The sequence below is a fragment of the Homo sapiens genome, chromosome 12 (assembly GCF_000001405.40).
Source record: "Homo sapiens chromosome 12, GRCh38.p14 Primary Assembly".
Taxonomy (NCBI): Eukaryota; Metazoa; Chordata; class Mammalia; order Primates; family Hominidae; genus Homo; species Homo sapiens.
The window spans coordinates 123,791,113-123,816,823 of record NC_000012.12 but is presented as its reverse complement, the minus strand read 5'-3'; the positions used below and the strand labels follow the sequence as shown (position 1 = coordinate 123,816,823).

The window sequence follows — 25,711 nt, the reverse complement described above, 5'->3', positions numbered from 1 at the left end:
CCAGCAACTTCACGTCTAGGCCTATACTCAATAGAAATGCAGGCGTAAGTCCCATAAGGTTGTCCTCACTTCAGATGCCAGTTGCAAGTATTAGGTGCCCAGGGTACACAGACTTCTGTCCAACCTGGCTACAAAATCAGGGGTTCCCCCACACACGTCTCCTTCACATTTGACCATTTGCTGAAATGGCTCACAGAACTCAGAAGGACACTTTACTTCCCATCACTGATTTATTATAAAAGACACAACTCAGGAACAGCCAAACGAAAGAGACGCATAAGCTAAGGTATGGGGTTGGGGGGTGCACAGAGCCTCCACGCCTTCTCTGAGCACACCACTCTCCCAGCACCTTGGTGTGGTTAACAACCTGGAAGCTCTCCAAATCCCATCATTTAGGGATGTTCATGGAGGTTTCATTATACAGGCATGACTGATTAGATCACTGGCCTTTGTTGATCTCCAATCTCCAGCCCCTCTTCCCTCCCCAAGGGTGGCAAAGATGGGCGCCTGAAAGTTCCAAACCTCTAAATAATTTATGGCTTGATCTTTCTGGCAACCAGCCCCCATGCTGAAGCTGCCTAGGGCTCCCAGCCACCAGTCATTTCACTTGCATACAAAAGACACTCTTGTCACTCCAGAGTCCAAGGATTTGAGAGGCTGTGCGCCAGGAACCAGGGACAAAGAACAATATTGTAACAAAAGATGTTCCTGTGACCCCTATCACTCAGGAAATTACAAGTGTTTTGAAAGCTTTGTGTCAGGAACCAGGGACAATGACCAAAGACAGTCATTGGTCTTTTGTCAAAGATCAAAGAGCAACAAAATGATGTTTTGGGCCAAAAATTGATTGCATATATGACAGTATTCCCATAAGATTACAATACTGTATTTTTACTGTACCTTTTCTATGTTTAGATACACAAATACTTACTGTTATATTACATTGCTTATAGTATTCAGTACAGTACATGCTGGACAGGATTGTAGCCTAGGAGCAATAGGTTCTACCATATGGCCTAGGTGTGTAGTAGCTATATCATCTAGATTTGTATAAGTACATTCCATGATGTTTGCACAATTATGGAATTGCCCATTGACACATTCTCAGAATATATCCCCATTGTGTTAAATATACACAACTGTATATTTCTCTTATTGTATTGGAGTTAATCTAATAAACCACACAGCAATTACCATATTTAATGATACAGTGCCAAAAGCTTTTCCTCTGAGATCAAGAACAAGACACGGATTTCCCCTACCTCCCCTTTCATCCAGCCTCGTACAGGAATTCCTAGCTAGAGTCATAAGGTGAGAAAAAGAAACAAAATATTTAAAAATTAAAATGAAACTGTCAATATTCACAGTTTATAAAATGGTGTGCCTAGAAAATCCAAAATAATCTGTGGATAAATGATTAAAATTCATAATTACTGATCATAAAAAAGTAGAATGCAAATATCAATTGTCTTTCTATATAACAATAAAAAATAAAATAATTAAAATAAAAATTAAAGATACCAATTACAAGAGCATCTAAAAATACCAAGTACCTAGGAATAAATCTGGCAAAAAATAGGTAAGGCCTCTATGGGGAAAATTATAAATCTTTACGGGGAGACATTAAAGACCTAAATAAAGAGAGAGAGAACATGTTCATGGATAGGAAAACTCAATACTACAGGATGTCCATTTGTGCAGATTAATCTAAAGGATCAATGCAATCACAATCAAAATCTCAACTGTTGTTGTTTTGTTGTTGTTGTTGTTGGAATTTGACATTCTGATTCATTTTTTGTGTGTGACCCATTGCACACTTAGTGCAAAATCCTTTGTTACAGTGATTCTTCTATTATTTCTGTGACGTAAACCAGGGAAGCAAAGTCTGACAAAAATCTACCTGGCTAGGCCGGGCGCGGTGGCTCATGCCTGTAATCCCAGCACTTTGGGAGGCCAAGGTGGGTGGATCACAAGGTCAGGAGATCGAGACCATCCTGGCTAACATAGTAAAACCCTGTCTCTACTAAAAATACAAAAAATAATTAGCCGGGTGTGGTGGCGGGTGCCTGTAGTCCCAGGTACTCGGGAGGCTGAGGCAGGAGAATGGCGTGAACCTGGGAGGCGGAGCTTGCAGTGAGCCGAGATCATGCCACTGCACTCCAGCCTGGGCGACAGAGCGAGACTCCGTCTCAAAAAAAAAAAAAAAAAAAAAAATCTACCTGGCCAAGGGAGAAATACAAACTAGAGAAGAGAAACAAATTGCTATGAATAAATCAGGATTTGCATGAAGTTTGTCTTTCAGCATTTCTATTGCTTGACTGCTTCAAACACCAGGACCCTTGCAGCCTAGTGGTTAGGATGTGGAGCTCACAAATGCCCTTGCTGAGCAGTAGACCTGGGCCAAAAACTTGACTTTCTTTCATCATCAGAAAAATGTACAGTATGTAAAATTTCCATACAACTTCAGGGGGAACCCAGACCCCCTAAAACTCATCCATGACTTTGAAAGATCCTGAGAACCCAAATTTAACAACCCTAAACAAAGCAAGACTAATTGAATTATCTTCTACCAGTTTCTTTTATTATCTTAAATCTTTCACTCTCTTCTTATCATTTTTGCAAGAGCTCTTTATCTATTAAAGGAAATTAACACAAAAAAAAGAAGAAAAGAAAAGGGAGAATGGAAATGGTATAGTTACAGATCAATCCATTTGAGCCATACAGATTGAAAAATACTCTATATTTTCATTATTCTAAATAACAGTGGCATTGCTTTACATTTACAATGTATTACTTAAAGTCACTTATTTGAAAACAAATCAATGGCAGTATACTTGAGAAGCATTTCTGAAAAGGGTCGTTAGTGGTCAATCCAATTGTTAAATGAATAAGAAAATACAAGTTGACTTACAAAGAGGTTATACATTGCCATGGTACGGTATCGCTCCTGGACGTCCCTATATCTGAGTTCCATGACTAGAGATTTACTTCTAATTTCTGCAATTGTTGCAAGGACAAACTTGAGATCTTCAAGGGTATTGGGGATCTTCCTAAGGTTTTTGGCCAGGTGCTATAACAGAAAGTACAAAGAACACTAAGCAAACACAGAAAAAACAGTAATGGCGCAAATGAAGACCCAACTTACACGAAAAGTAGTTTCAATTACACACAGCGATTGAGTACCTCCATCTCTTCATGGAGATTATAGAGCTCCTCTTTTGCTGACTCATTGAGAAGTTTTCCAAGCGAAATCACCCAGGACTTGGCATTTTCCTGCACTGTGTTTGCCAGATGCCTGAGCTGAAGTCTGATGCAATGCTCATCCTTAATTAGAGGGTGGCGCATAACCTCATAAGCTATCTTGGAATAGAACTGCAACTTTTCATCATATGCTACACAAGGAGGTTTCTTGGCAGCAAATTTCTCCATCACAATAGCTTTGTCCAATTTCCAGAGAGGTCGATACCGCTTCCATTTTTGTAGATACTTCATAAGATTGATCAGAATCCTGTGGACATTTTGGGGGATCATAACAGCTTGTTCAATTATCTGAGGGTTCAGAGAGATATCATTGTAAAAGTTTATTATAACAACTTCCTCTTCCTCCCCCTTCTGAGGTGGGCATTCTATGCAGCTGCCATTCATCCAACGAACAAAATGCTGGCAAAGTAAGAATTAGGAGAAAAGACAGTATTTTAGTATCTATTTTGCCTCCAACGTACATATTAGTATTCAGTAATAAGTCTTGCCAGTAATGGAAAATCACTTTATTATTAATAAATTATTTGAGATTCAAAAATTACCATAATCCTTTGTTCCTCTCATCAAGAGATGGAGCCTATTTCCCTTCCGGAGCAAGCCTTGTGACTTAACTTGACCAATGGAAAGGGGCGGACATGGTATTATGCAAATTCAAACCAAGGAGTCAAGAAAGCCCTGCAGCTTCTGCTCTCATGCTCTCAGAACCTTGCAACCACCAGCTCGAGCTGGTCTACTACACCACGAAAGGCCATACACAAGAGAACCCCAGCCGCCACCCATCAGAGCTGTGCTTGAGGTCATCAACTGCTAGACACGAGTGAGCCCAGCCAAGACCAGAAGAACTGTTCAGCAGAACTCAGCCCACAGAACCCAGAGCTAAATGATTATTGTTTTATGCCAGTAAGTTTTGAAGTGGCTTGTTATAACATAAAGGCCAACTACACCATGGATGAATTAAAAAAACTTTTATTTCCATATTTACAGAGGAAAAAACACACATTCAGGCAAATTGACTGCTTAGTGTCCCAGAACAAATCTGCTAATTTGACATCTCCCTGCTGTAGAGTTAAGGCTCTGTTTTTTGTTTGTTTGTTTGTTTTGTTGTTTTTTTTGAGACGGAGTTTCGCTCTGTCGCCTAGGCTGGAGTGCAGTGGCGCAATCTCAGCTCACTGCAAGCTCTGCCTCCTGGGTTCACACCATTCTCCTGCCTCAGCCTCCCGAGTAGCTGGGACTATAGGCACCCACCCCCACATCCAGATAATTTTTGGTATTTTTAGTAGAGATGGGGTTTCACCGTGTTAGCCAGGATGGCCTCGATCTCCTGACCTCGTGATCCGCCCACCTCGGCCTCCCAAAGTACTGGGATTACAGGCGTGAGCCACTGCGCCCGGCCAAGGCTCTGTTTTAATCAAGCGTGAGTCATAACAGCAAACCATAGGTATGTGACACATTAGTTCTCTGAACAATATGCTCACCATCTGTAAAATGTGAATAACAACTACTATAGGTTGGTGCAAAAGTAGTTGCAGTTTTGCCAATACTTTTAATGGTAAAAACCACAGCTACTTTTGCACTGACCTAATACTTCTGCTTCCAATATTACTAATAACAGTAATACTAACACTAGGCGGGGCGCGTTGGCTCGCACCTGTAATCCCAGCACTTTGGGAGGCAGAGGCAGGCAGATCACGACATCAAGAGATCAAAACCATCCTGGCCAAAATAGCGAAACCCTGTCTCTACTAAAAATACAAAAATTAGGCCAGGCGCAGTGGCTCACGCCTGTAATCCCAGCACTTTGGGAGGCCGAGGTGGGCGGATCACAAGGTCAGGAGATTGAGACCATCCTGGCTAACATGGTGAAACCCCAACTCCACTAAAAAAAATACAAAGAATTAGCCAGGCGTGGTGGTGGGCTCCTATAGTCCCAGCTACTCGGGAGGCTGAGGCAGGAGAATGGCATGAACCCGGAAGGCGGAGCTTGCAGTGAGCTGAGATTGCACCACTGCACTCCAGCCTAGGCGAAACAGCAAGACTCTATCTCAAAAAAAAAAATAAATAAAAATACAAAAATTATCTGGGTGTGATGGCACATGCCTGTAGTCCCAGCTACTCGGGAGGCTGAGGCAGGAGAATCACTCACACCCGGGAGGTGGAGGTTGCAGTGAGCTGAGATCACAACACTGCACTTCAGCCTGGTGAAAGAGCAAGACTCCATCTCAAAAAAAAAAAAAAAGTAATACTAATACTAATAGCTAACATTTATTCAGAGCTACTGATTGCCAAACACTGCACTAAGCTGTATACACGTGTTATATAATTTAATCCTCCCAACAGCACGCACTAGAAGGTGAATGGTATTATCATTTCCACTTAGTAGAGGAGGTAAAATTCAGAAACTAGTTAAAACTTTGGCTCATTATTTTTTGCCACGAAATAGGAATCCTGAAGATCAAAGAGTTCAACCATATTAAGTGGCCTAGCCATGCATGTTCATTTGCCAAGATCTTTTTAATGAAATACATTTTTAACCTTATCTAAGAGAATAAGTAAAAATTATTTTCATTTAAAAGAAAAAACTTATGAAGCTAAAATAATACAGGCTTCACCAAGAGCCTCAAATCCATCTATTAGTAAGGAGGAAAGTTAAGTTGGCATGGAATATTGTGATTAATATTCATAATGTTTTATAGGCCAACTTTCCTATTTATTTACCTCTTAAAAATTGCTGTTTCCCTTACAAAGGAAACATACATAGCACCTATAACATACAGCACCTATAAGAGAATTTATGTAACAGAGACTTAATAAATAACTGTCTTAGCATGGATTATAAAACATGTACCGTTTATTCAACATTTTTTTTTTTTGAGACGGAGTCTCACCCTGTCGCCCAGGCTGGAGTGCAGTGGTGCGATCTCGGCTCGCTGCAAGCTCTGCCTCCTGGGTTCACACCATTCTCCTGCCTCAGCCTCCCAAGCAGCTGGGACCACAGGCGCCCGCCACCACGCCCAGCTAATTTTGTGTGTATGTGTGTGTATTTTTAGTAGAGACAGGGTTCACCATGTTAGCCAGGATGGTCTCAATCTCCTGACCTCATGATCCACCCACCTCGGCCTCCCAAAGTGCTGGGATTACAGGCGTGAGCCACCGCGCCTGGCCTTATTCATCAATTTTTAAGTACTGTGAAATGAAATTCCCTATTCTGATTTCTAAACTTATTTTTATGCCCCTAAAAATGCCGGAAACATGTCTGACTTGCTGAACAAGCCAAGTGAAGAGGAAGATGCCAGTGTGCTGGGGGGTGATGCCCCATACCCACAAAGACAGCTCTATTTTCCAATTTGGGGTAAGACATAAACCTTGGGTTTTCTGCCAGCAGATGTTCATTCAACAAACATTTACTGAGAACCAACTATGTGCCAGATGTTCTTGGTGCTGGGGATTCTAAAGGGAACAAAACACTCAAGGTCTGTATTCCCATGGATCTTACATTCTAGTGGCCTGAAAGGATCAATAGATAAATAAGCAAGGAAAAAAATAAGAAAAGGTCGGAGAGTGGTACGTGGTAGGAAGATGGGAGGGGGGTGACGGGAGAGAGAGGACAAGAAGGTCAGGGGAGCAGAATGTTCCAGGTGAGGGAACAGCTATGGAGATCCTTGCAAGAGGAACCCATGGTGCCTGCTGGAGGCACAACCAGGCAGCCAGTCAAGCTGCAGCATGAGGGAGCATGATCCTCGTAGGACTGAGATCAGAAAGGCAGCCAGGGGCTAGAGCATGGCGGCCTCACAGAGCACACAAAGATATCTGGATTATGTTCCAAGTGTAATTAAGTCATGGGGTGGGTGGGGGCAGTTTACAACAGGGATGACACGAAATGATATGTTGTTGTTGTTGTTGTTGTTGTTGTTTTAGAGACACGGTCTTGCTCTGTTGCCCAGGCTGGAGTGCAGTGGTGCAACCATACCTCACTGTACCCTTGAACTCCTGGGCTCAAGCAATCCTCTGCCTCAGCCTCCCAAGTAGCTAGGAACACAGGTGTGCACCACCACGCCTAGCTAATTAATTTTAGTTTTGGTAGAGATGGGGGGGTCTCACCATGTTGCACAGGCTGGTCTGGAACTCCTGGGCTTAAGCAATCCTCCCACCTCAGCCTCCCAAAGTGCTAGGATAACAGGCGTGAGCCACTGCACCTGGCCTGATTTGTATTTGTTTAAGGTAATTCTGACCACCGGTGGTGGAGAATGGATTGATGGAACGTCACTGCAACAGTCCAGGAGAGGGGTGATGGCCACTTGGGATAGGAAGGTACTGGGGGGACAGGAGAGAAGAGGACAGATGGGAAGTATGTTTGGAGGACTTACTGATGTGAGCCGGGCAGGGCTGGGTGAGAGAAGAAGAAACAAGGACGAGTTTCTGGGTCAAGCAGTTGGTTTGATGTTGGTGCCATTTCCTGAAGTGGGGAAAACTGGGGGATGACTGAGTCACAAGGCAGAAGGTCAAGAATTCCACCTTGGGCAGTGGCTCACGCCTATAGTCCCAGCACTTTGGGAGGCGGAGGCATCCTGAGATGCCGTCTGAGCAAGGACACAAGCACCTCCGCTCTCACCTTGGTGATCTCCACGCAATTCCGGACACAATGGAAGCACATCTTGTCGATCTCATTTGTGTTGGGATGAAGGATGATCTCAGGTGCCGTCAGAATGGTTTCAGTGTGGAACAGAGGGACATTTCCAAGGATCAAAGAATTAAAAGACTGCAAGTTCCTAAGAGGGGTTGATGAGAAAGACTCAGAGTGTATCTCACTAGAGTGAAATACACCAAGCAATTGATGGAAATGACCAGGGCCACAAAAATCACAGGTACAGGCAATGGCACACTGTGAGGCTGTCCTAGACAGGCTGGGGTGAGTCTTACTTAAAATACTCTTTTTTTGCACTAAATTTATACAAACAGTTCATTTCCACTTTTGGAAAACTGAAGACCTTTTGGTTGGAAAATAGTTAAACAATAATGACTTCCAAAACCTGCTCAACTCTGGTAAGGAAAAAGGAGCACTCACATCCCCACCCAGCCTGCCCTACTGGCTCCATCCTTTCCAGGATGAAAGTAGATGTGACACCCAGGGATGGAACTTCATCAGCCTCCAGCCCAGTCTCCCTGCTTCCCCCTGCCGGCCCAACCCCATCCAGTAATTCACATGGCAGCCAGAGACACTATTTTAAAACATCTAGCGGGGCGCAGTGGCTCACATCTGTAATCCCAGTACTTTGGGAGGCTGAGGTGGGAGGATCATTTGAGCCCAGGAGTTTGAGACCAGCCTGGGCAACACAGCAAGACCCTGTCTCTAAAATAAAAATAAATTAGCTGGGCATAGTGGCACACGCCTGTGGTCCCAGATATTCAGGAGGCTGAAGTGGGAGAATTGCTTGAGACAGGGAGGTTGAGGCTGCAGTGAGCCATGAACATGCCACTGCACTCCAGCCTTGGTGACAGAGTGAGACCCTGTCTCAAAAAACAAAACAAAACAAAAACATCTAACTCCTCCCTCTCCCTCCTCCCGTCTCTCTCTCCCTCTCCCTCTCACTCCACCTCCCTCTCTCACCCTCTCCCTCCCTCCTTCTCCTTTTCCCTCCCCTTCTCTCTCCTCTCTCTCCCCTCTCTCTTCACCTCTCTCTCCCTCTTCCTGTTTCTCTCTCCCTCTCCAGGCTTCTCCCTTCCTCTCTCCCTCTTCCCCCCTCCTTATCTCTCTCTCTCTCCCCCTCTGCCTCTCTCTCCACCTCTCTCTCTCGATCCCTCTCCCTGTTTCTCTCTCCCTCCCTCTCCTCCTCTTTCTCCAGTTGAAAACACTCCAGCAGCCTCCCATGGCTGTCAGATAAAATGCAAGCTCCCTGCCGTGGCTTCCCAGGCTCCCTGTGACCTGATCCACCCCTGCCACCCTCTCCAGCTTCATCCCCTCCTTCAATCTCATCTTTCCTTCTTTCTGTTTCTTCCACTGACCAAAGGCCCACCTGTGGGTCTTCACAGCAGTTTTTGGCTTCCCCCAGAAAGCTCTTCCCCGTTTCAGCTCACTCCTCATCTTCAGGTCTCTACTAAAATGTGGAATTTCCGGGGTCTTTCTTGACCACCCAATTACAGCAGCATCTCCATTCTCTCCCCAGAACACTAGGCTGCTTTGTTTCTTTTACAGAACTCATCTCTTTTATGTCTGTTTCCCTGTGTCCTGCCTTCTCTATGAGGTTAGAGAAACTGCAAGGATACAGGGGCCTTGTCTGTGACCAGAGTCTAATCCAACAGGCAGCACAGGGCAGGCTTTACTCAACCTTGGATGGATGGATGGATGGATGGATGGATGGATGGATGGATGGATGGATGTGGGGATGAATGTGTGGATGGATGAGTGAATGAACAGATGGATGGATGGATGGATGATGGATGGATGGATGAACAAATGAATGAATGAGTTAATAAATGGATCAAAAGAAAACATAGCAGGGCCAGGCGCGGTGGCTCACGCCTGTAATCCCAGAACTTTGGGAGGCCAAGGCAGGCAGATCACGAGGTCAGGACATTGAAACCATCCTGGCTAACACAGTGGAACTCCGTCTCTACTAAAAATACAAAAGAATTAGCTGGGCGTGATGGTGGGCACCTGTAGTCCCAGCTACTCAGGAGGCTGAGGCAGGAGAATGGTGTGAACCCAGAAGGCGGAGGTTGCAGCGAGCCAAGATTGCGCCACTGCACTCCAGCCTGGGCAACAGAGCAAGACTCCGTCTCAAAAAAAAAAAAAAAAACATAGCATATTAGTAAGGGAAACACTATAGGAGGTAGCTCCATGTAAGGGACTGCTTTAGGAATCTAAATTAAAAGTAGTAACAGAGAATAAATGAAATACACAGAAAACAGAGTTATTTAAAGGATCAACTTAGAGAAGTTTGCGAAACTGGGTCCAGAAAACAAGAAGACCAAAGGTTTTTGTTTTATTTTTCAGTGTATTATTCCAAAAGAGATTTTTAGCAGCTCACAAAGATACTTTAACTGCAGTAAGAGATCCTAAAATCAAAGTGAGGTAAAGTAAGGAACGAAGAAGACACTAATCAGACACCATTTCAGGAAATGATACTGGAGTCAGACTGCCCAGGTTCAAATCCCAGCCCTTTCTCTTACTGGCTGTGTGGTCCCGGACGAGTCACTTAACCTGCCAAGATTCTGTATCCTCCTCTGTAAAACAGGGATGAGAATTGGAAAGAGTCCAGCACAGAACATGGTGCAAGGTGAGCTTTCCTATGTGTTCAGATGAGACTAAAATGTGAATCATAGATACCTACACACTTGCTGCATTTAGGCCACAAATTTGGTTCTAAGCTTCCTAGCAGCCAACGTGAAAGGGAAAGCTATGAAGTTAACAATCCATAGAGTCCGTATCACTTAAAAACCAAACAAGAAAATGAAAGCAAAAAACGAAAAAGAAAAATGTCAGGCGGGGTGGCCGGGCGCAGTGGCTCACGCCTGTAATCCCAGCACTTTGGGAGGCCAACGCGGGCGGATCATGAGGTCAGGAGATCAAGACCACCCTGGCTAACACGGTGAAACCCCATCTCTACTAAAAATACAAAAAACTAGCCAGGCGTAGTGGTGGGCGCCTGTAGTCCCAGCTACTCAGGAGGCTGAGGCAGGAGAATGGCATGAACCCGGGAGGCGGAGCTTGCAGTGAGCCGAGATCATGCCACTGCACTCCAACCTGGGCGACAGAGCGAGACTCTGTCTCAAACAAAAAAAAAAAAAAAAAGAAAAGAAGAGAAAAATGTGAGGCTGGGGTCAAAGAAGGAACTAGAGTCATTTCTTCTGGAGTTCCCCTTCATAAGGAAGACACTGCATGATAAAATGAACACTACTCTTGACAATATAGACGTGACGGTAACGGTGATGGATTTCACAGGCTGGTTTCCTAGAATGATCCTAAACTGTCAGCCTCACACCCCAGAACAGTCTGTGGGCCACCAATGCGATGGGGTCCAGGCACTCAGCTTCCAGCTGGTCTGGCTGAGCTGCTGAGGGTGAGGCCCAGGAGGGAAGGGACAGAGTCTGGCGTGTCAGAGGCTGGCACATGAAACAGGCATTCAACACGCACAGACCGCGCTAACTAGGGGCTGACTTGAAATCAGCAAGGAATAGGCCATGTGTCCTTCACGTCTGTCACTCTCAACATGAACAAGGAAGTCCTCTGGGATTCTAGCCAATATTGAGTGACAGCGATTCTCTGCTGCCAGCTGAACACAGGCTCACGATGGCTTTCAGACAGTTGAAGTGGGGAGAGGGATCCTTTCTTTTTTGGAATGTTGAGGGGCCTAACAAGATCATGAAGGTCATCCCCCCATTCTGTGAGTGCCCTTCTGCCAGAAAGCCTCTGACCATCCAACTGATTTTCATTCTCTACCTTGCCACCCCCTCTAACTGTCCATATTTGTCAACTGTTTTAATCTACACACACCATTTTAAAGCATGCAACAAGATGAACTTACTTCAGGATGAGCTTTGTCAGGACCTCATAAATTTTCTTTTCCCAGTATTTGTAGTAGGAGGCCAGCTTGGGGGCCTTGCCTGTGTTGGTGTGGACGACCAGGCCCTCAACTTTGGTCAGCAGTGGTCCAATGGCAAGATACCACCGGACCATGTGGTCCACGTCGCTGGCCCTTTCTCGCTCAATGTGTTCAAAAAATTCCTTCACGCCTGGAGAGAAAGATGTCTGTTAGAGCTGTCCACGAACACAGGGAAGGACAGCACTCAAAAGGCAATCCAAACATGAGCTGTGTGTCTTAAAAAAACCAAAACCAGCCTCCAACCTCAGCCCAAAGCAGAACATAAGTCAATATCAGAACACACACTAAGCAACAAATAAATGACAACCAGTTACGCACATCTAGTGGCTTTTATACCTTTGGGCAATCTTGTTTTTCTTCAATTCATTGTTGACATATCTTGAATTCCTTGTTGACTAGTCTAAGACCACTTAAAGTATCTTTTTTTTTTTTTTTGAGACGGAGTCTCACTCTGTCACCCAGGCTGGAGTGCTGCAGTGGTGCGATCTGGGCTCACTGCAAGCTCCGCCTCCCAGGTTCACGCCATTCTCCTGCCTCAGCCTCCCGAGTAGCTGGGACTACAGGTGCCCACCACCACGCCCAGCTAATTTTTTGTATTTTTAGTAGAGACAGGGTTTCACCGTGTTAGCCAGGATGGTCTCGATTTCCTGACCTTGTGATCTGCCTGCCTCAGCCTCCCAAAGTGCTGGGATTATAGGCGTGAGCCACCGAGCCCTGCCTAAAGTATCTTTCTTTAGCAAGTAAATGTGAGCCCATAAAAAATACAACTAGCTTTACTGTTACAAAGTTATCAACAAAGTACCACAGGCTTTCGCAGATGAGGTGGGAGGATCACTTGAGGCCAGGAGTCCAAGACCAGCCTGGGCAACATAGTGAGCCCTCGTCTCAGAAAAAAACAAAACAAAAACAAATAAACATGAATTTGTTAAACTAAGCAATATATAAAACATGACAAAAAGTAATAGCTACCCGTGATTCTTTCAAGTAAATGACTGAGAGCATTAGAAATGGTTTGATGCCATTCATGGAACATACAAATACATATGTATATTTATAGGTACATATATACACATGTATGTATATACAATATATGTTCTCATTAATTCCATAACTGGAGAACCCAGAAGTCAGATCTACCTGGGAGTTCTTCCTCACTTTTAGCGGCTGGATATTTAAAGAGATTTATGGCCTCTATTAATGTCAGCCTGGAAGAAATGTCATCTGCATTCTTATGAATCTGGTGGACGAGAGACTCAAATTTCCCAATGGCCTGTTTGCAACCAGTTATATAGTCACCGATACCTTTGAAGAAAGAAAGAAAGAAAGACATTTGGCTTCCAACTCTGTCTTTCCACATCCCCCCACCAACGTCTGTGATGTTAATACTGGCATCCCTTTGCAGGAAAGACCCTGCTCATTCCAACCCCTTGGGTCTTTGGGCTGGCAAAGATCCACTTTGAACCCTAAGGGACTGGGACAAGGAGTCCTGAGCCCAGAATCAACCAAGCAATGCATCTCTTCTATTCAAATGTTAGCACGGTCCTGGCTGGAGCACCATGGGGAGAAAGGGACTATCAAGCCTAGCTGTCTTCTCACTGCTGGAGCTCCCTGAACCTCCACTCTGCACCACCTGCCCGCAGCCTCCTCTGGCCTGGAGCTTAGACGAACAGCAAGAACATGAACAGTAAACTCGGGCTAAGTACTTACGATCGGTCTCACTTTATGAAAATAAAAACCCCAAAGTGGATCACAGACTATACTGGGAAACATCATACTATAACATTTTTAGAAACAAAACACAAGGAGAGAAAAAAACTTATGATTCTTCGACTTGACAGCAAAAGTAGAACCCATTAAAGGAAAAATTGATACACTGGACTTAGTTGAAATTTACAGTTTTTGCTCTACCAGAGGCCCTCCTACGAGAAAGAAAAGACAAGCGACAGAGTGGGAGAAAATAGCTGCAAACCACACATCCAATAAAAGACGAGTATCTAGAGTATACCAAGGATGCTCAAAACTCAACAGTAAAGAAAACAAACAATCTAATTAGAAAATAGGCAAAAGACATAAAAAGACGTGTTGCTGAAGAGGCCATACACATGACATATTTGTGCTTATTAGCACATGAAAAGATGCTCAACACCATTAGCCATTACAGAAGTCAAATCAGAACCATGAGATATCATTACACAGCTATCAGATGGCCAAAATTAAAAAAAAAAAAAAAAAGTGACAGCAAAACTGGCCAGGATGCAGAGAAACCGAGTCACTCATATATTGATGATGGAAATGTAAAATGGCACAGCCGCCCTGTAAGACAGCATGACAGTAAAACAAAAACAAAAACAAAAAAAGGCCACACGTGGTGGCTCACGCCTGTAATCCCAGCACTTTGAAAGGCCAAGGCGGATGGATCACTTGAGGCCAGGAGTTCAAGATCAGCCTGGCCAACATGGCAAAACCCCATCTCTACTAAAAATACAAAAGTGAGCCAGAAGTGGTGGCAGGTGCCTATAATCCAAGCTACTCGGGAGGCTGAGGCAGGAGAATCGCTTGAACCCAGGAGGTGGAGATTGCAGTGAGCTGAGATTGCCCCACTGCACTCCAGCCTGGACAACAAGAGCGAAACTCCATCTCAAAACAACAACAACAACAACCTTAAACTAAACATGCAACTACCGTGCAACTCAGCAACTGCACTCCTGGGCATTTATCCCAGAAAAAGTGAAGACTCCTGTCACACAAAACCCTGTACACAAATGTTTATAGCAGCTTTATTCCTAAGAGCCAAAACCGGAAACAACCTAGTTGTCCTTCAAAAGGTGAAAGGCTGAACAAACTATGGTACATTGATACCGTGGGGTATGCTTCGAAAATCCACAGACTGTTGACACATCCAACAAGGGCAGATCTTTGAAGACTTAGGCTGAGCAAGAAGAGCCAAATCAAAAAAGGGCTATGTGTTATCTCATTTATATAACACTCTGAAATGACAACATTACAGAAATTGAATAAAGATTCATGGTTGCCAGGGATTAAGGAGAGGGCAAGGATGGGAGGGAAGTGGACTTGACAGTACTCGCTGTGGTGTTGAAAATGCTCTCTATCTCGACTGTATCAATGTCAATATCTTGGTTGTGATCTTAACTAGTTTTGCAAGAAGTTACTACTTAGGGAAAATGACTAAAGGGTACGAAGGCTCCCTCTGTCGTAATTCTTAACAACTGCATGTGAATCTATAATTACCTCCAAATTACATTTTTAATTAAAAAAATAAAAGTAAAGGTGATTTTCTTTTGGGAGAAATGTGCTTTGGGTCTGCAGAGTGTGAAAATATCACCCCTCTTATCTTCATCCCAACGACAGCCTGGAGATCAGTTCTAAGTTCCGCAACTTGTATTTCTTAACCCTCAAAAATTGTTAATTGTCTCTATAAACATATGAAAATGGTAATTCAAATAAAACAACCTAAAAGAATTACTTTGCATCCCAAGTCTAAAAGGCAATCAATAGATGAATGACGTTACCTAGTGAGTTCCAGTTCAACCTCTTATATCCCGACCTAAACACTCGGAGCAGTTCCTGGGAATGATCTTTGAGAAGCACAGACTCCGCATCGTTTAACGTTCCTATGAGCATGTGATAATGATCCAACATGCGCTGTATCCCAGCTGTGTACCTGCACATGACAGGAATGTCATAAACCTGAGGAGAGCACCTTTAAGCTCATCAAAAGCTTTTGCGGTCAAGAGATTACAAAAGACCGTGGTCTCAATCAAGACCAACCTTGATCAAGAGATTTGCAGAAATTTAAAACATCACTCTTCTCATTAACTTTCTTTTTTGGAAAATATTGGTTACTTCTCATTAAAGATGTTATTTATATTACATGAAATAGGTTTACTATTGTTGATCCCTATTTTAAACTTTTCTTTTTTTTTTTGAGATGGAGTCTCGCTCTGTCGCCTAGGCTGGAGTGCAGTGGCACGATCTCGGCTCACTGCAACCTCTGCCTGCCAGGTTCAGGCAATTCTCCTGCCTCAGCCTCCCAAGTAGCTGAGACTACAGGCATGAGCCACCATGCCCAGCTAATTTTTGTAGTTTTAGTAGAGATGGGGTTTCACCATGCTGGCCAGGCTGGTCTTGAACTCCTGACCTCATGATCTGCCCGCCTCGGCCTCCCAAAGTACTGGGATTACAGGCGTGAGCCACCACACCCAACCCCATATTTTAAACTTTTCTTAGCTTCAATTTTTTTTTCTTCTTTTTTTTTTTTTGGATACAGGCTCTCGCTCTGTCTCCCAGGCTGGAGATAGAGCAATCACGGTTCACTGCAGCCTCAATCTCCCAGGTTCAAGGAATCCTCCCACCTAAGCCTCCCAAGTAGCTGAGACTACAGGTAGCACCACAACGCCCAGGCCTTAGCTTCAATTTCTAATGTGGTAAGAATTCATAATTATAAAATCCACAAAAATGAAAGCTTTTGGAGGGGTCCTCAATAATTTTTAAGAGCGTAAAGGGGTCCCAAGAACAAAAAGCTTACTGCTAATTTAAAAGAAGAATTTTTTTACCTAAGGAATTTGTCTTCCTGGAGAGCAACATTTCTTGCTAATTCAGGGACAGTGAACCCCAGCTGCTCTAAGTACTTTGTTTCATTAATAATCTCTCTGAGAGCCGGTGAAAAGTTGATTGCAAAAACAGCTCCCCTTTCTAAAGTCGAAGGCTCCTCTGTGGCGATGGAAGACTGTGGAAGAGACATTCCATCAGCGCGGCCAGGGCAGTCCAAGAGACAGTTGGATCAACACAACCCACACCAAAAGTGAACATGAAAAAGATCAACACTGGGCCCTTCACCAGACGGGGGTGCTGGCTGGAACTGGCTGGAATATGTATTTTGTTTGGTGAACGGAGATTTTGAAGAATCAATTCAGTTGCCGGCATTTGAAAATGGAGCAATTTCACCTAAAAATTCCTTCTGCCTTCCCTTGAAACACTGGAAAATCTGACATGGAGCAGTTGCCTCTTTGGTCGGATCTGAGCCCACCTGTTCCCTAGGGGTCCCACCTGGCCCTCTCCACTTGCTTTGGTCCCTACGTCAGGATTTCAGGAACCAAAGACCTAAAACTGCCAGGCTGCATCTTTCCTCCCTAACGGCAGGTGTTCGTTTATCGAGCATTCACCAAGTGCGGGGCCCAGAGCTGAAGAAGAGGATGAATCAGGTGGAATGGCATTTTTCTGCAGGTTAAAGATGGCCAGCTGTCAGCTCTGTTTCATATATGATTCAACCAACCCTTTGCTTGTCTACATCATCTGATTTATAAAACGCATTTCATAAATGGGGAAACGGAGGCTTGGTATTCAGCCACTTGCCCAAGAAGTCAGTAGGGCTGCCCGTTTCCAGCCCGCGTCCTAGCCATGGCATCGTGCCATCTCCACTCTTTCCTTTCTCCTCCTCCCCTAGCCCTTCCTTGTCTTTGATTCTGGAAACTGACCCAACTTCATGAATGTCAACAAATCAAGCCTTGAGAAAATGTGGCAGACGCCATCGTCTCACGCGGCAATCGGGAATGAGGGCGTGGGCAGCGCACCTTGGTCAAAAGGCTCTTCTTCATGAGAGCTGGCAGCACCTGCTCCGTCACCTCCATCCACTGCTCATACTTTCTGTCTTCATACTCCTTCATTGTCCTACCTACTTCCAAATATTTTTGTTTGACCTATCAAAGAATTCAAGCAACCGTCATTTTGTCCTTGAAAATAACATTTTTCATCTCGCTCTACACAGATAATTTATACAAATTATAAATATAATATATAAATTATTATAAACATTATATAATTTTTTTTTTTTTTTTTTGGAGACGGAGTCTCACTCTGTCGCCCAGGCTGGAGTGTAGTAGCGCGATCTCAGCTCACTACATCCTTCGCCTCCCGGGCTCAAGCGATTCTCCTGCCTCAGCCTCCCAAGTAGCTAGGATTACAGGCACATGCCACCACACCCAGCTAATTTTTGTATTTTAGTAGAGACAGGGTTTCACCATGTTGGCCAGGCTGGTCTTGAACTCCTGACCTCAGGTGATCTGCCCACCTCGGCCTTTCAAAGTGCTGGGATTACAGGTGTGAGCCACTGCACCTGGTCATTTTTATATAATTATATATAAACATTTTTTCATATCTTTCTACATAATTTTGTATACATACATTATAAATATAATAAATAAAAATGTTAATATAATAAATAATATATAGTTATATAATATTAAATAATATAATATAAAATAGTATTAGATATAAACACATTTTGAAAAAGGAAGTCAATAGATTTTCCCAAAGCTTGGAGAGTTGGTCTGCGATGGTGATATAGCACAGATCTCTGTCCTCCCAAATCTCATACTGCATTGTAATCCCCAGTGTTGGAGGTGGGGCCTGCTGGGAGGCAACTGGATCACGAAGGCGGAATTCTCGTGAATGGTTTGCACCACCTCTCTTGGGACTGTCCTGGTGATGCTGAGTGAGTTCTTGGGAGATCTGCTCAAGTGAAAGTGGGCAGCACCTGCCCCTTCACTCTCTCTTGCTCCTGCTCCCACTGTGTGAGGTACCTGCCCCCACTTTGCCTTCCACCATGATTGGGAGTTTCCTGGGACCTCCCAGGAAGGCTATGCTACCTGTACAGCCTGCAGAACTGTGAGCCAATTAAACCTCTTTTCTTATAAATTACCCAGTTTCTTTATAGCAAAATGGACTAATATAGTTGATAACTTGAAATCTAGGTTGACTGGCAGCCTTCTGCAAACCACAGTCCATGAACTGCCTTGGTCTCTACCCATGAACTAAGAACAGCTTTTACATGAAGAGAAGGAAATGATTTAGATGATTAAAAAGAAATCAAAAGAATAATAATGCTTTGTAACTCAAGAAAAAGATATGAAATTCAAATTCAGCATCCATAAATAAAGTTTTATTGGACACAGCCACGCCTGTTCAAAACGTATTATCTGGGGGATACTTTATTGCAGCAACGACAGGTTGAGTCGTTGCAGAGAAATTGTCCAAACCCCTAAAATATTTACTATCGGGATCTTCAAAGAAATGGCTTACCAGCCTCTGCTATATAACATATAAAAATCCATGGGTGGGGGGTGAGATCATATCGAAAAGATGGTAGGCATCCTCCAAAGAAGCTGAAAATTCAATACAGGAAGAAGCCCACATGACCACATTCTGGAAGATGTCTTCTGTATTAAGATGCCAAAGAGAAAGAACACAGGCCAGGTGCAGTGGCTCACGCCTGTAAGCCCAACACTTTGGGAGGCCGAGGTGGACAGATTGCTTGAGCTCAGGAGTTTGAGACCAGCCTGGGCAGGCAACATGGTGCAACCTCATCTCTACAAAAAATACAAAAATGGGCCAGGCGTGGTGGCCCACACCTGTAGGCCCCGCTACTCGGGAGGCTGAGGCAGGAGGATCGCTTAAACCCAGAAGGTCAAGGCTGCAGTGAGCTGTGATTGTGCCACTGCACTCCAGCCTGGGCAACACAGCAAGACCTTGTCTTAAAAAAAAAAAAAAGAAAAAGAAAAGAAAAAGAAGGAACGCAAAAGGCAGTTTACTATGAGCATGAATGCAAGGACAACAGAAAGACCCTCTAACTCACAGGCATGGGTCTGAAATTGAGCTGCTTCTCAAATGGGCCACTCTACATAGCGTGCTGCATGGCGGCAGCAGCCTGATCTAATGCTTCTCCTGGATGGGATCGGGGAGGGCAGCCAGTCTAGGATTAAAACATTAAATACAGGGCCGGGTGCTATGGCTTACGCCTGTAATCCCAGCACTTTGGGAGGCCCAGGTGGGCAGATCACGAGGTCAGGAAATCCAGACCATCCTGGCTAACACGGTAAAATCCCACCTCTACTAAAAATACAAAAAAATTAGCCGGACGTGGTGGCACATGCCTGTAGTCCCAGCTACTTGGGAGGCTGAGGCAAGAGAATCGCTTGAACCTGGGAGGCGGAGGTTGCAGTGAGCCGAGATTGCGCCACTGCACTCCAGCCTGGGCGACAGAGCGAGACTCCATCTCAAAAAAAAAAAAAAAATCAAATACAAAAGGAGCCAATTCTAGCAAGAGCAACATACCTCCTGTCCTCGATCACTGTCCAGTATCTCTTGTACCTCTTGAAATCGGAGGATGGTATGCTTAATCCGAAAGAACAGAGATCGTTCCCAGTATATTGCACCTGCTACTGGAGGGTGATTCTTATACAGTGGTGGATTTTCAAGGTTCTGGACAAAGATTTTATTAATGATGTCAATCTGAAAAGCAATCAAACAGCTTCTGTAAGTGATAAACATCGCCAGGTTAGCCAAGAAAGATGAGATTTGAATCTTTAAGGAAACCAAAAGTGGAATGTCAAAAAATATTCTAAGATGCAGAATAGTGTTTTCACTGTTTACTTATTATTTACTACTTTTTCTTATGCTCTGTAGTAATCTTTTTGTTGTTGTTGTTGTTGAGGCAGAGTCTTGCGCTGTTGCCCAGGCTGGAGTGCAGTGGCATGATCTCGGCTCACTGAAAACTCCGCCTCCCAGGCTCAAGTGATTCTCTTGCCTCAGCCTCCCAAGTAGCTGGGATTACAGGCGCCCACCACTATGCCCAGCTAATTTTTGTATTTTTGGTAGAAATGGTGTTTCCCCATGTTGTCCAGGCAGGTATCAAACTCCTGACCTCAGGTGATCTGCCCACCTCAGGGTCCCAAAGTGCTGCGAGGACAGGCGTGAGCCACCGAGCCCGGCTGTAGTAATCTTTTCTTCAACATATGCAATGCTCCAAATTGCCTTACAATTACAGAGCATGCACACTGTGTATATTGGCTTGATCCAATTATCAGAAATCCGGAAATCTGTTCTAGACATGACCACAGTGGCAGACCTTTGGTTTTTTTTTAATTTTTAGTTTTTAGTTTTTGCAGGTAAAGTATACATATTCATGGGCTATAGGGCACGTTTTGATATAAACATGCTATGCATAATAACCACATCATGGAGAATGGGGTGTCCATCCCCTCAAGCACTTATCCTTTGTGTTATAAAAACAATCCAATTATACTCTTTTAGTTACTTTTAGATGTATAATTAGGTTATTGACTACAGTCACCAGAACTGTGTTTTTAAAAGAAGCATGTCTGAGCTCTCGTGGGGGTAATTAGGTGTGGCAGGCACAATGATGGCCTCGCCTCCCAAAGATGTCCACGTCCTAATCCCCAGAAGCTGAAAATATGTAATGTTACATGACAAAGGGGAATTATGGTTGCAGATGGAATTAATGTTGTCAGTCAGCTGATCTTAAAATAGATAAATTATCCTGAATTTTCTGGGGAGGTTCTATGTAATCACAAGGGTCCTAAAACAGGAAGGAGGAGGCAGAAAAGGAGGTCAGAGTGATCTGAAGTGAAAGTGGCCACCACTGGCTTTGAAGATGAAAGGGAACCAGGAACTTCTAGAATTTGGGGAAAGCAAAGCACTGAATCATCCCTAGAGACTCCCGAAGGGAACACAGCCCTGCTCACACCTCGATTTAAACCCAGGGACACCCGTGGCAAACTTCTGACCTCCAGTACCATAAGAGAATAAATCTGTGTTGTTCTAAGTCACTGCATCTGTGGTCATTAGTTCCAGCAGCATTGGGAAACTAAGACATCAGGAGACCACCTTAGGCCTTTTTTTATACTACCTTATGCTCACCTAATCATTCCACATATTCTCATTTTGTCTTCTACATAAGATTATAAGCATTTTTTTCTTTTTTCTTTTTTTTTTTTTTTTGAGACGAAGTTTCACTCGTCGCCCAGGCTGGAGTGCAATCGCGCGATCTCAGCTCACTGCAACCTCCACTTCCCGGGTTCAAGCGACTCACCTGCCTCAGCCTCCTGAGTAGCTGGGATTACAGACACCACCACCACGCCTGGCTAATTTTTGTATTTTTAGTAAAGAGGGGGTTTCACCATGTTGGCAAAGGCTGGTCTCGAACTCCTGACCTCAGGTGATCCACCTGCCTCGGCCTCCCCAAGTGCTGAGATTACAGGCATGAGTCACAGCGACTGGCCAGCATTTTTTTTTTTTTTTTAGACAGGGTTTCACTCTGTTGCCCAGGCTGGAGTACAGTGGCAAGATCATGGCTCACTGCAGCCTCAACCTCCATTGGCCCAGGTGATTCTCCCACCTCTGCCTCCCAAGTAGCTGAGACCATAGGTGTGCGCCACCACACCAGGATAATTTTCATATTTTTTGTAGAGATGGAGTTTTGCTATGTTGCCTAGGCTGGTCTCAAACTCCTGAACTCAAGCAATCCGCTGGCCTCGGCCTCCCAAAGTGCTAGGATTACAGGCATGAGTCACTGTGCCCAGCAGATTATAAGCATTTTTTGGTCTATTTCTCCAACTAGATACTGACTTCTTTAAAAGCAGAATCCACGTTTTGTTCATCTCTCTATCTCTGTGCCTAACACCATACTTGAGATATGTGAGCACCAGATAAATTGTTCTGAGTTAATTATAAATACATATATGATCCTTGGACATGGTTAACTATGATTACTATTACTACCATGATTATTACTAACCCACACAGGGCCCACCACAATGTGAGTAAATCATAATATACTTAATTCTTATTGAATTTCTCCACTAAATAAACAAACCCACTTTGTTCGGGTTACGTGTATTACGTAACATGCTAATTTGGGAAAATTCTAGTTTCTCTGAATTCAGATGGGAAAGACAGACAATAGTGGGATTCAATTGTTCACATTTTGCCAAGTGTATTTTTAATGCTATGGCAGCTATCGATTTTTCAATTACCTCTTTACAGTACTGTGCAAGAATATCATTAAATTTCATCATCATTTGTCGATTAACAGCCTCCCGTGAACGAATGTGCTTAAATTTTAAAAGCATGTCAAATGCTGCTTCAGCAGATCGAAGCGTCTTAAAAGATTCATCAATAAAATGTTTTGCTTCTTTCTCAATAACCTGCAAAAAAATCAACAAAACAACCCTCATGCCCCTGTAATTATCCTGCCAAAATAAAGTGGCAAGAAATAAGAAAAAAAAAATCAGTGGTTTGGGACAGATTTCTATGGCATAAGTAATGGAAACTGGTATCCAATTTAAAGTGGGAGATTGGCTATGTTGATTTCCTGATCTCTCTCCCCAACCAGTTCAAAGGTAAAGGAATTTTTTAAAGTATTAACTCATATAAACAAAAAATGCAGGAGAGGACACAACAACAGAGGAAATAGTTCAGGAATTTTTAGTAAGAAAGTAATGAAGGCAGGGCCAGGCGCAGTGCCTCACACCTGTAATCCCAGTACTTTGGGAGGCCGAGACGGGCAGATCACGAGGTCAGGAGATCGAGACCATCCTGGCTAACACGGTGAAACCCCGTCTCTACTAACAATACAAAAAATTAGCCGGGCATGGTGGTGGGCGCCTGTAGTCCCAGGTACTCTGGAGGCTGAGTCAGGAGAACGGTGTGAACCCAGGAGGTGGAGACTGTAGTGAGCCGAGATGGCGCCACTGCACTCCAGCCTGGGCGACAGAGCGAGACTCCATTCCAAAAAAAAAAAAAAAGACAGTAACTAAGGCAGGTAGTTACAACCTAATGCTGAAAATAGGGGGCGCAAGTGAGTCCCTGTTTGTTCCTTGAAGAAACTCCAGAAGGCTTAGCATTTGGAGGCACTGGGCCCAGGAAGGGAGTCAGTGTGCATGAAGGTGAGGGGCAAACAGGGAATCCCTTTCTCACCTTGCACAGCCAGGCCACTCTGCAGCCTCAATCCCTCCCACCCCCACTCCATTCTATAAAAGAGTGGAAGGTTAGTTCTAGAAAAATTAACTCAAGAATAACATCAGACTTCTAATATTGGAAGCTAGAAATCAATTTTAAAAACTTCAAATTTCTAAAGAAAGGTGATTTTCAACCTTGGATTCTATACCTGTTATTTCAGAATTCATACATATAAGACTCACAAAATATATGTCTCATGAAACCTTACTTAGGAAGCTACTAAATGTGCTCCAGCAAAACGAAGGAGTAAACAAGGAAAGAGGAAGAGGTGAGATCTAGAAAATTGAAAATCCAACACAGATGAGAGAAGATAGGAAGTCCTAGGGTCCTAGACTGCTTTGTAACAGGCTCAAAAAGCAAACAAGCTGGCCGGGTGTGGTGGCTCATGCCTGTAATCCCAGCACTTTCAGAGGCTGAGGCAGGCGGATCACTTGAAGTCAGAAGTTCAAGACCAGCCTGGCCAACATGGCGAAACTCTGTCTCTACTAAAAAACACAAAAATTAGCTGGGTGTGGTGGCACACACCTGTAACCCCAGCTACTCAGAAGGCCAAGGCAAGAGAATTGCTTGAACCCAGGAGGCAGAGGTTGCAGTCAGCCAAGATCACGCCATTACACTCCAGCCTGGGCAACAAGAGCGAAACTCTGTCTCAAAAAAAAAAAAAAAAAAAAAAAAAGGACAAAGGAAAAAAAAGGTAAACAAGCTAGAGTAGGAGGACAATGAGCTCTGGGAGGAAGGCCTCTAGGTAAATAATGGCACTGATATGTTTAAGTATTTAGAGGCTATTGTTGATAGGTATGTGGCAGAGATATTAGAGAAGTTGGAAAAAATTAACAATGGGTACATAAATAACCAGGCAAATAAAAAACAAAAGCAATTATTAACTCCAGGAAAACTGAAGGTTGGCCAAGAAAGGTATTGTAGTTATGATGGTCTTCCCAGCTCAGCAATGAACAATATTTGCATAGACATAATAAGTAAACACTAGTCATTAATTTAACTAAAAGTTATGAAGAAACTGTGTTAGATGACAGAGAGGCAAATGGGATTAGGAATGGGACAGTCCAGCCTGTATCTACTCTGAGAAGTTAACAGAAGTCTAAATTAATAAATCAGAAAATAACCACATCGGCTTGTTCTTAAAAAAATATAGGGGTTAACAACAAAAGAAACATCTAAAATTGTGGAAAATGACAGCAAGAATGAGGAAGGAGTTAAGCATGGAGCTGTTTTTTCTTATTATGAATCCTTTAGTATCACTTGATTAAGTGACTTTGATGAAAAGTTCAATTTATTTGGGAAGCTGAGGTAGGAGGATCACTTGAGGCCAGGAGTTCAAGACCAACCTGGGCAACAGAGTGAGACCTCATCTCTACTTAAAAATTTTAAAAATTAGCCAGACACATGCTTGTGGTCCCAACTACTCGGTAGGCTGAGGCGGAAGGATCACTTGAGCCCAGAAGGTTGAAGCTGCAGTGAGCCAGGATCACACCACTGCACTTTAGCCTGAGCAACAGAGCAAGACCCTGTCCCTAAAAAATAAAAAATAATAAAAGAAAACCAAAAAAAGGTTCAACTGAAAAAGCAAGTAACACTTAAAATAGCAGCTAATAATAAATTAGATATAGTTAACATGGCAATGTCTATATAACCAAGTAGAACTGTCTAGGGTTGTGCATATAAAAAGATGCTGTGAGGTTATAAAAACAACTGTGTAAGACATAAATGGGGATGCTCCTAATTACGCTTCCTGCATGAGACTGAAAAGGTGAGCGCAATGGGTCACTCTTCATACTGTGGGAAGTGAAATCTGATTCTCAGCTGCAGCCTCTCTCTGATGGACTCTGCCTCCCCGCACCTCAGGCTATCACCTCCTGTATCATCTCCCCACTCTCTGTTGTTCCCCAGTCCAAAGCAGCCTATACTGTAGCCAGAAAAATCTTCCTGAAGTATAAACCTTGATTTTTTTTCACGTTTTTGTTTTTTGGGTTTTTTTTGAGACAGAGTCTTACTCT

General features: G+C 43.7%; 1 protein-coding gene across 11 annotated transcripts in view; it reads right to left on the bottom strand.

Moving 5' to 3' along the window:
* Positions 1-25,711, bottom strand: part of DNAH10 (dynein axonemal heavy chain 10) — a 173,420-nt gene that overhangs the window by 118,897 nt on the left and 28,812 nt on the right. For 7 of the 11 annotated variants that reach the window (NM_001372106.1, XM_017018960.2, XM_011538016.3 and 4 more), the window contains exons 12-21: positions 22,712-22,882; positions 19,992-20,168; positions 17,453-17,578; positions 16,436-16,608; positions 15,392-15,543; positions 12,999-13,163; positions 11,784-11,991; positions 7,871-8,027; positions 3,184-3,660; positions 2,912-3,070 (exon numbers count right to left, since the gene is read on the bottom strand). In NM_001372106.1, coding sequence (NP_001359035.1) covers positions 2,912-3,070; positions 3,184-3,660; positions 7,871-8,027; positions 11,784-11,991; positions 12,999-13,163; positions 15,392-15,543; positions 16,436-16,608; positions 17,453-17,578; positions 19,992-20,168; positions 22,712-22,882 — 1,965 coding nt within the window. Of the gene's footprint in view, positions 1-2,911; positions 3,071-3,183; positions 3,661-7,870; positions 8,028-11,783; positions 11,992-12,998; positions 13,164-15,391; positions 15,544-16,435; positions 16,609-17,452; positions 17,579-19,991; positions 20,169-22,711; positions 22,883-25,711 lie in introns of those variants that run through there. The other 4 variants (XM_017018961.2, NM_207437.3, XM_011538019.3 and 1 more) reach the window with 4 other exon arrangements.